This window comes from Homo sapiens, chromosome 3, assembly GCF_000001405.40.
Source record: "Homo sapiens chromosome 3, GRCh38.p14 Primary Assembly".
NCBI classification, from domain to species: Eukaryota; Metazoa; Chordata; class Mammalia; order Primates; family Hominidae; genus Homo; species Homo sapiens.
Genome location: NC_000003.12, coordinates 150,690,847 through 150,702,223, shown reverse-complemented (window position 1 = coordinate 150,702,223; position 11,377 = coordinate 150,690,847). Strand labels below are relative to the sequence as shown.

The 11,377-nt window shown below is 35.1% G+C and overlaps 1 protein-coding gene across 3 annotated transcripts in view; it reads left to right on the top strand.

Annotated features, from left to right (window-relative positions):
- The window catches only part of ERICH6 (glutamate rich 6), a 44,036-nt gene that overhangs the window by 1,697 nt on the left and 30,962 nt on the right, over positions 1–11,377 (top strand). For all 3 annotated transcript variants that reach the window (NM_001308234.2, XM_005247120.4, NM_152394.5), the window contains exons 2-3: positions 46–103; positions 3,342–3,433. In NM_001308234.2, the coding sequence (NP_001295163.1) occupies positions 81–103; positions 3,342–3,433 (115 nt within the window). In that variant the 5' untranslated portion in view covers positions 46–80. The remainder of the gene's footprint in view (positions 1–45; positions 104–3,341; positions 3,434–11,377) is intronic.

Genomic DNA, 11,377 nt, shown 5'->3' with positions numbered 1-11,377 from the left:
TTGATTTAGAGGGAATAGCTGATTTTTAAATGTTTCATTCAACAGGTTTCCCTAAAATATTTCAGACATTTAGGAAAGACATGTCTGAAATGAGTATAGATAGGTAAGAAAATGTTTTCAAATTTCACATTTTTTGAACCCAATAATGTTTACCTTTTGGATAAACATGTTAGGAAGTAGAGTAAAATAATCCAGGGCATTTGTGACTTACTTATTTTAAAAAGTTTTTTTTAAATATACACTGGTAGACACTTTGAAAGAGATAAAGGTTCCCACTTATCCCCAGCTTATTACCTAGCTCTAGAGATTACATGTCCACTTATCAATGTAACATGAAAGAATAACTATATATGCCATGTGTGCAATTGTAAGTGCTTGAGAATTTTGAATATAGCTTTTATTGGCTAAATGCAAGAGTGACCAGGGACGCCTTTTGTGGAAGAGAGTGGAAATAATAGCTTTTCCTTTTTCCTCTCTCTCTCTTCTTTTTCTTGTTATTGCTATTAGCCTTCAGGCACTTTAACTATAGTAAGAAGATACCAGTGAAATGCCTTCTGGAACATCTTTGTAAATATTCCCTGAAATCTCACACCAAACCTGAGTCAATGATCTTGAATTATTAGTTACCCTAACTTTGCTTTTGTAAGCAACTTTTGAATTCTTAAGTCTAAGGAGAATTGTTCTGTCTCACTTACATGTTTTTAGTTATCCTTTTAATTCAATTTGTAATAAAGATAATGTATACATGTGGTTAAAAAAATCAAACTACACAAAGGTATAAAAATGAAAATCTCATGCCCTTCTTCACCCCCACTCCCACTCACCTTCAGTTTTGTTTCCATTATTTAAAATGACATTTTCATTTCTTGGTTTATCAATTTCTGACATGTGTATTGAATTCCCACCTCTCCACTTTGGTAGTTATATTATTTTTAGTTTTTCTAACATTTAGGACTTCGAGGTATTTAAACCTCTACTTCTTGATTCATCAATTTTAGTATCTATTGACTATAATGAAAAATTAACATGTTAATGCACTTCCTCCTTCCATCTTTCTTCTCTCCTCTTTTTTCCCAATTAACAACAAACTATATGAAATGATAAATTATATTAAAATGCAGTGTATATTTACATAAAGTTATATTACTTTTCCAAGCTTTATTATGCTTGTATTATGGTTTGTTAATTATAATTAAAGTGCTCTGGGGTTGTTTCTAAAAATTGAAAACCAACAAACAATACTAACACTTCTATGTTGACAAACCAGTAATATGATTGAATCTATGGACAAGAAAATATAATCCTATGTCTATAAAACTTGTCTCTTAAAAAGTAAAGTTTTTGCCAGATGCAGTGGCTCACACCTGTAATCCCAGCACTTTGGGAGGCTGAGGTGGGCAGATCACGAGGTCAGGAGTTCAAGACCAGCCTGGCCAACATAGTGAAGCCCTGTCTCTACTAAAAATACAAAAATTAGCCGGGCATGGTGGCGTGTGCCTGTATTCCCAGCTACTTGGGAGGCTGAGGCAGGAGAATCGCTTGAACCCAGGAGGTGGAGGTTGCAGTGAGCCGAGATCATACCACTGCACTCCAGCTTGGGCAATAGAGTGAGACTTCATCTCAAAAAATAAATAAAAAATAATAATAATAAAATAAACTTTTTGACTCTCTGTTGTTCTGTCTACAGTTTTTCTGGGTTGGCTCACCAGCCACACTTTATTGGTTCCCATATTGTCTTCTTTCTTTTGTTGCTTTTCCTTTTGCTGGAGAAACTCCTCAGGTGAATTTTTTATATAGGTCTCACGGATAGTCAAATTTCTGAGTTCTTGCCTGCTTTGAAATTTCTTCATTTTGCCCTTGTACTTGACTTGTTAATAAAAAAATAAATAAAAACCTGCCAAAAAGAAGAGATTTAAAACCATTTCACATGGTGAAACCTCGTCTCTACTAAAAATACAAAAAAAAAAAAAAAAAAAAAAAAATTAGCCGGGCATGGTGGCGGACGCCTATAGTCCCAGCTACTCTGGAGGCTGAGGCAGGAGAATGGTGTGAACCTTGGAGGAAGTGCTTGCAGTGAGCCAAGATCGCACCACTGCACTCCAGCCTGGGCAACAGAGCGGGACTCCATCTCAAAAAAAAAAATTTCCCTCAGAGATCTGAAGACATTGCTTCTTTGCCTCCTAGTAGCCAATACTGCCTCACCAGTCTTATCCTCAGACCATTCTGATATATAATTACTTCCTCCCCTTTTCTTCTTTTCTTCAGAACTCCTCCTAGATGCTGTTGGACCTCTTAGGTAGATTCTCCATCTTTAATAACATTTCCTTTGTATTTTCAGTATCTTCAGGATTTTTGATGTTTGTTTACATGCTACTATACAGCCCTTGTACAGAATTTTTTTATTGGAGGATTCATATTTGAAATTTCGAAGAACCAGTGCTTGTTCTCTGATTGTTGCTGTTCAAAATTATTTGGTTTGTTTTTTGTGTTTTTTTTTTTTGTTTTTATCTCTTTGAGGGCTTTGTTCTAATATATTAAAGTTCTCCTTTGTTCTTCGTATTATTTTTCCTTTCAAAGTCAATTGTTCTGTTTATTTCTCTTGCTTTTTCTCTTCAATGCTATTGATTTTTCTTAAGTGGTAATCCTTCGTTGCCCATTTTTATTTATAAATGAATGGCTGATAAATAGCTAGAAAGGAATCCTTCCCTAGCTTTAGTAGTTCTGTTTTCTGACAGAGCTTGCATAGGAGAGTCTGCTATGATCCCTGTGCAGATGGGTGGGGCATGTTAGAGTCATTTCCTGTGGAGTGTCTAGGCAGGGAGGAGTGAAGCTGGGAAATCCTACTATTACTAGAGTTAGGGCAAGGACACTTCAGTGTATGGTCATGGTTTATTTGTTTGTTTGTTTGTTTTTGAGATAGAGCCTTGCTCTGTCTCCCAAGCTGGAGTGCAGTGGCACAATCACGGCTCACTGCAGCCTCCACTTCCTGGGCTCAAGCCATCCTCCTGCTTCAGCCTCCCAAGTAGCTGGGGCTACAGGCATGGAACAGAACATCTGGCTAATTTTTTTATGTTTTATAGAGATAGGGTCTCACCATGCTGCCTAGGCTGGTCTTGAACTCCTGGGCTCAAGGTATCCTCCCAGCTTATCCCCCCAAAAAAAGATTTGATGCAAACACACTGAGTTAACTTTACTGAAAAGATAAAAATGGAAGAAAATATTTCAAAGAAAACAAAATATTTTCTACGTGCATTAATTAATTGATTATTAAATGTTCGATGTTTAGAAGACCTGCTAACAACTATATAGGTATACTCAAAACATTTTTGTCGAAATTTCAGAAATATTCATCGCAATTTGTCTCCAGGAATTCCAGTATCAGTACAAACAGAAGAAAGTTGGCTCCAAGATTTGTCTGATAAAGTGCAATCGAGTGAGTAGTTTGATTTCTTAGCTTTTCCTGGGAGGAGGGATTGCATGTTGGAAATATCACAGGTGTAGAAGGCCAGTACAGCTAGATTTGAATCCCAGCCCCAACACATACTAACCTTGTGATGTTGGGCAAGTTGCTTACCCTCTTTGAGTCTTACTTTCTTCATCTCTTGGAAATAGTCATATTGTCACAGGATTCTTATGAAGATCAAAATAAGATTAAATATTTTCAGTATTCAATAAATGGTAGCAATTATGTTCACATCAAGAAATAATCTGCCATTATATTTTTGATACATATCTTTATTTTTTTATTATACAAGTAACATATGCACACTTTTTAAATGTCAAACCACTAAGAAGTGGATAATGTAATAATTAAAACTTTAACTTTTCCAGTATATTTCCCTTCAGCTTTTATATTCACATTTTATTTTATGTCATTTATTCATCGACTGCTTACTGAGCACCTACCATTTGCCAAGCACCTAACATTTGCCAAACACCTATCATAGGTCTAGCCTATAATAGGGTATCAGCAGTGAAAAAAACAAGCAAATCCCCTGTCTCAGTGATATTAAAGTGTGGGAAGTGAAGGTGATGGCAACAATATAGAGAATAAATCAGTTAATATATAAAACATTAGATGATGTAAGTGCTAAGAAGAAAAGTAAAGCAGGGAAGGGGTTGGAAAGTGTCGGGGGTTGGAGGTAGGGTGCAAGTTTACACAGGGTGCCCAGAGAAATCTTTCCTGAGAATCTGAGGTATTTGAGAAAAGACCTACAGGAGGTGAGAGAATGAGCCAGGACAATCTCACAGGAAAGGTGTTCCAGGCAAGGGAACAGCAAGTGCCTCCTTCTAGAACAAGAGGCCAGTGTGGCTGCAGTGGAGTAAGCAGGGAGGAGAATCTTAGGGGATGAGATCACAGAGATCTGAGGACCAGATCTTTCTCACTGGGAGTGAGGTGGGAAGTTGCTGGAGAATTTGTGCAGAGAAGTGATATAATCCAACTGGTATTTTTAATGACTGCTGGCTGCTGAGAAAATATGAGGGCAAGAGCCCAGAGATTGAGCCCTGCAGAACTCCATTGTTAAGTTGGGGACATGAGGAAGAAACTAAGGAAAAGCATCCAGTGATGTAGAAGAAAAACCAGGAAGTGTCCTAGATACCAATAAAGTTTCAAGGAGGCAGGAATGATCAACAGGCTCAAATGATACTCAGAGGTTAGGAAGATGAGGACTGAGAACTGACTACTAGATCTAGCATGTGGAAGTCATTGGTGATGTGGATAGGACCAGCTTCAGTGTAACTCTGGGGATAAAAGCCATATTGGAGTGGGCTCAAAGGAGAGTGAAATAAGTGTAGAATAGAAATGGAATCATACTCCACAGTCCCATTTTATTGCTAAGCTTTTAATGGTACAGTGGTGTAACTAAAACATCAACAGTCTTATTTTTTAAGGTCAAAAGATACAAATCAAACAATAGTTTCTTTTGACTATTACCCTCAATTTCAGATGTCACCACTATTATCATGTTGGTTTGTATCTTTCCAAATCTTTTCCTAAGCTTTTGTATCCATATAAAAGTGTAGTAGTGTGGCCCCTTTTGTTTGCTGTTGTTATTTACATGAATGGTATCACACCGAATCTGTTGTTCCACTTGCTTTTTCGCTTAATAGGCCTTGAAAATTTTTACCAGTAAATACAGGTAAAAATTCTTTGTAATTGTTGCATAATAGCACATAGTACAGATGTACAATTATTTATTTAAAGATTCCCCAACTGATGCATAAAATTGTTCCTAGATATTTATTTCCACAGTGTTACAGTAAGCCGCCTCCTCTTTGTGTACACACCGAGTATTGCTGTAAGACAAATGCCAAGAAAGTGGTATTGTTGAGTGAAAAGTTACACATTTTAATCATCACCTTCCTAAAGAGCTGACCCAAAGTATGCGTCCATCAAAAGGGTTGTTGAGACCACCCTTTTCCTACTCTTTCCTATATTTGATATTGTCATTCTTTTAAATTTTTGACAGTCTGTTAGGTGGAAATGATTATTATTTTATTTCTTAATTATTAAGATTATTGCCGAGGTTGAGCAACTTGATACCAATAATATGTTTTTTTGGTCACTCGATTATCTTCTTTGAATTCAGCAAACAGTGTTCATATCTTTTTCCCATTTTTCCATTGAGTTGTCTTTTCTTTCTTGATGTTTATTTTTTGGCAGCTTTTTACATATCTGTAATACTTCTTTGAATGTTGTATATGTTGCAGATTGCTCCTCCCAGTTTGTCTTTTACATTTGCTTGTGGTCATTTTTGTTAAATATAATTTTAAATTTGATGTAAGTAAATCTTTTCCTTGTGATTCTCACATTTTGTGGTTTAAAAAGTATTTCCCTAATTCAATAATATATGTATATTTTCCTACATTTTCTTCTAAAACTTCTAGAATTTTACTATTTATCTTTAGCACCTAAATCAATATGGACTTTATTTTTGTGAATGGCTTAAGAAAATAACCATCCTTTTCCCCCAAATTTTGTCTCTATACTACTCCTTAACCAGTCCAACCTTTCCACTCTGCTTTGAAATGGTGTCTTTATCCTATACTAAATTATCAAATATATATTGTGTATATATTTCATGTGTGTACATACACACATGTGAATATTCTGTTCCACTGAACTATTGGTATTTTCCTATACCAATATCACACTATCTTAATTTCTATGGTTTTACATATTTAATATATGATAAATGAATTTCTCCCCTCCTTATTCTTTTTCAAAATATTATTCCCAGTTATTCTTGGGCACTTGTTCTTCCAAAAGTATTTTAGAATCAAAATTCCATTGAAAACTCCCACCAAAACTACATTGACTATGTAGATTAATTTGTGAATAATTGATACCTTTTTAATATTAAATCTTTTAATATTAAGTCTTGTTTTTCAGGAACCTAGTGTACCTCTCCATTTTGTTTCTGATCTTCATATATATATATATAGTATATACTATATATATGAGCCTCATAAAGTTCTTATTAGTCTATGCTAGGTGTTTTATAGTCTTTCATTGATGTAGCCAACCATTGGGGTCTTTTTTTCTTTCTCTTTTTGAGACGAAGTCTCGCTCTGTCGCCAGGCTGGAGTGGAGTGGCGCGATCTCGGCCCACTGTAACCTCCGCCTCCCAGGTTCAAGCGATTCTCTTGCCTCAGCTTCCCGAGTAGCTGGGATTACAGGCATGAGCCACCATGCCCAGCTAATTTTTGTATTTTTTTTTTTTTAGTAGAGATGGGGTTTCACCACGTTGGCCAGGATGGTCTCAGTCTCCTGACCTTTCCTGACCTCATGATCTGCCCGCCTCGGCCTCCCAAAGTCCTGGGATTCCAGGCGTGAGCCACTACAGCCGGCGAGAATCTTTTTTTCTATTGTATTTTCTAATTGGTTATTGTCAATCAGTAGGAAAACTATTGATTTCTATGTATCAATCTTGTATCTGACCCCCTTGCCGTACTTCCTTATTCATCATAGTAGTTTGTCAGTTGAGGGTCTAGTGGACAATTACATTTCGTGTGAATAGTGGCAGTTTTATCTATTCTCTATTGTTTTTACTTAGCAGTTGTTATGGTCTAAATATTTGTGTTCCCCCAAAGTTCACATATTGAAATCTGATCACTAATGTGATAGTATTAAGAAATGGAGCCTTTTGGAGATAATTAGGTCATGAGGATGCAGCTGTCATGAATGGGATTAGTGCCCTTGTAAAAGAGGGCCCAGAAAGCTAGTTCATTCCTTCTACCATGTGAGGACACAGCTAGAAGGCACCATCTATGAACCAGGAAATGGGCACTTACCAGACACCAAATCTACCGGCACCTTGATCTTGGACTTCTCAGCTTCCAGAACTGTGCACATAGATTTCTGTTGTTTATATAAGGTACTCAGTTTATGATAATTTGTTATAGCAACCCAAACAACCTAAGACAGAAAATTGGTACCAAGATGTGGGGATGATAAACCAAAAAGTATCTGAGACAGGTTTCAATCAATTTAGAAAATTGTTTTGCCATGGTTAAGCACATGCCCAGAAGAGAAGTAAGACAGAGTCACTGAAATGGTCTTTGCCTTCCTCCAAAGATGATTTTGAGGGCTTCAGTATTTAAAGGGGAAAAGCAGGTCAGAAGGAAAGGAGGAACGAAGTGGTAATCCACGTGTTGCAGGAGAAAACGAGCAGGTAGGGGAATAGTCAATTCTGTATTCATCTGGCCCTCAGTAAATCAGCACTTTAAATAAGATAAAACGAACATAGAGTACCTACCCATGGAGATATTTAACCTTTTATCTGTAGCTGTCTGCTTAGGAACAAAAGGAAAAGTGGTTTCTTGCATGACTCAGATTTTAGCTTTATTTTTTCCTTGTGGCATGGTGAATTGTGTTCCTGAGTTTTTATTTTTCATTCACATTTCTTCTCCCTTTTCTTTTAAAGATGTTTCATCTTTCTGAAACACACCAAATAATAATAATAAATAAAATTTTAAAGATAAAATTTTTCAGAGAAAGCATTTTAGAAAATAATGAGTCTGGTCTCAGGTTGTTTCTGATCTTTCATGGCTAAAATGGTTTTAGCAGTTTGTGAAGTCTCATGTCCTATGAAGAAAAAATAGGAGGAGGAAGGGAGAAAAACAACAGCAAACAGAAGAACAATCCTGGAAAACTGCTATAGGCCACATTACTCTGAAGTCCATACATCACTAGGCAGGTATGAAAGTGGCTTATGTATGTAAATAGGTTGTTGTTATTTTCTTCTGAAGTTTAAGTTTTCTAGCTTCAGTTTGCAGGGCTTTACAAAAGCACAGCTTAGTTTTCAGTGACTCCAAATTGGGGAAAATGGGGGAAGAAAGAAGGAAAAAAAATTGAAAACATTATTTTGAAGATTTGTAACCAAGAAAAATTAGAATTCAGTCCAAACTGTAGAAAATAATAAAAATTGAAAAACATTAGTCAAGACAAGAATCTAACAACAAGTATACTATAGGTTTTGAAACATAATTTTTCTCTCTCCAGTTTCCCATTTTTACTAAAGACAAATTGTGGTAGGACTGGTTTGCTTTATTATACTTGGCCTAATCATTTGTATACAGTGCAGTAAAAAAAAAGTAATTATTTTTACATAGGCTTTTAAATTGGCTTTGATGGAATTTTGTTCTATAGAAAGAATCTCAGATAAGACTTTTTTAAAGTTGAGCCCAGCCATTGATTTGTACCATCAAATACCTATGAGTTGGGTGATCCTCTCTCCTCTTGAAGTTCCAAGATAAAAGTTGGGGCTCCTAGGCCTGTCAGAAAGTGACATTCTTTACTTACCACAGGTCAGGAACCCTGTACAGGGACTGTATGGACAAGTATGAGGCCAGTTTTCCCAAAGGGCTTTTATTGGATCCATAAGTCAGATTTGATTCCTTAAGGAAAGCACACCATTCCAGTCAAAGCCTTGATAAAATAACCATTTTCTCCAATTGTGTTCTGTCATGAATGAAAACAGATTCTTATTGCACTTATACAAATAACTGTATTGCTATAAGTTAAGAATACTCACAAATAGTTTCTAAATTCTGGAGAAATCAGGTAGAGAGAAAACAAATACACTCCAAATTTTGTTCTTAGGAGTACACTTTACTCAATTGTTAAAAGCTGTAAATAGCTTAAAAGTTTTCTTGAGTCTGAAAAACAAAACAAAGGATCAGCAACGTTTTAAGCAAAAAGTTAAAAACATTGCTTCAGACTTCTATTAGTTTAGTCTATGCAGTTAATTCCTGTTCTGCTTGATATTCTTGAATATTTCAGCTCTCCATGAGTCCTGAAAGCTTTTCCTCTATTCTGATGTCATAGTCTCTGAAGTTATCAGAAACCTGCATTTGAGAACACCTGTTAAGAGTTTTATAACTGATTATAAATCCACCTTCTAAAGTGCACCAAAACAAGATAACAATTGTCTGGGGACGACAAAAAGTTTTAGGGCAGCCATAGTCAAAGACACAATTGACAAGAAAATTTGTTACCTCTGTGGTACACAATAATTTAACATAATTATAATTATTACTGATAATGTACATTAACTCATATCAAAATTATAGGAGTTTCCCATAATTTTAGAACACATACTAATAACATATTTATACAAATACAGGCCAAAGAAAACCAAACATCATTTTATATTTGACAGTGCTTCCTGTATAATTTTTATACCAAATAAGCCAAATATGTCATTTTTGTACTTTAAGGAACCTAATATCTTAAAGGATTAATTAGATCAGGAAAAGACATAATTTATAATTTGATTTGGAAAGTTTGACCATTATCAAAGGTTTAAAACACTTGATATCATGAAATAGGATCACAGGTTATTGTAAAATAAGTCATTTCATTTAACCAAAGTGATAACTCAAGGATTTCAAAAAAAGAGCAAAAACCTTCATTCTTTGAGAGAGGAGACTTAATTTCCCAAATTATAAGCCCTAATAAATACAGCATGAAGCCAATTAAATTTGTTTTTCAAAATTTTATAAACAATCTATAAAATTTTAATCTTGATATAAGATAAGATATAACTTCCATAAGCTTTTTATAACCTTTATCACCTTTATTAAGGAGTTGGTTAATGCTTCATGAAAACCTTGTTAAACTGACACAAGCGCCTATATGCTAGTCTTATATCAGTGTGCTTTTGACATTGATGATTAAAGAGAAACTGAACTTTTTTTATCCCTCAAAATTGGCTCTTACAATCTCACAGGCCCATCTGTTCCATGATAGTCCCTGGGCCTTGAGGAGTGGAATAGTTTTAATTTCTGGCCCTGTGTCTCGGGAATGCAGTTTATTTTGATTGACATCTTCTACCAGGCCTGAAGATGGGGCCTTAATTGCTGTCAGTGTTTAAAATTCAGCCGGACTTGGTGTCCTTTTTAGACCCAATAGTCAAAGCTCTGTAACTCAATCTCACAAGTACTTTAAAAGTGCATACAGAAGGATACACAGATGTAATAACCTTAATTTAAAAAAAAATAATCTCAGCTTTTTTTCCTAAGCAAACCAAAACTTAATAATAATATGGCAACTTGATTATATAAGTTTTTTTAAAGAAATCCTCTTATTGTGACTTACACAGACCATTCATGACATGATTGGACTTTCTGGTTTGTCCTGAACATCCCTTTCTCTTAAACAACCAGTCATTCTACTCTAGGACTAAATTTACCATACAAGATTCTTTCTTTCTCATTGAAATTATTTCTCTTTAAGCTTTCTTACAAAAAACAAATAAACCTCTTTATTTTTGTAACTTTCTTTACATCTCTCTTATTTCCTGGTTCCTTTTACCTCGTTTAATACATGATCTTTGAATTAGACAAAAATTATTCACCTTTTTTAAAAGGACACCCTTTTCTTTTAAGAATGTTTTCCTACAAATATATTTTTAATGCAAAATACCCAAATAATGAAATATCTATAATTTAACTTTAGATTCTAAATTATAATGAGTTCATCTACAAGTATGTATCCCATTACATTTACCTAATTATTTTAATTGTTTACCTGGATTATTTATGAAAACTGTGATAGTCATCATTTAAAGTTATGGAACTGCCATTGCAAAATTATAACTGAGACAGTGAAAAAGATTTGACCCAACTGATTCCATCTTGCTTTTAACCTCCAAGCTGTCCTTGTTCATTCCTGGGCATACGCTGAACTAGCTTTGGGAGGAAATTAGTTTAGAGTTTAGCTTTGAAACAAAGATGATAATGGTCCTTTCCCAAAACAAACCTCACTGCCTGTGGACCAGACTGCCTAAAGCCACAAGATTAGAAGTTATGGTAATCTTACTAAATTTAAGATGTAGCTATTTTTTATTAAATCAATATCAATGTCTTACCT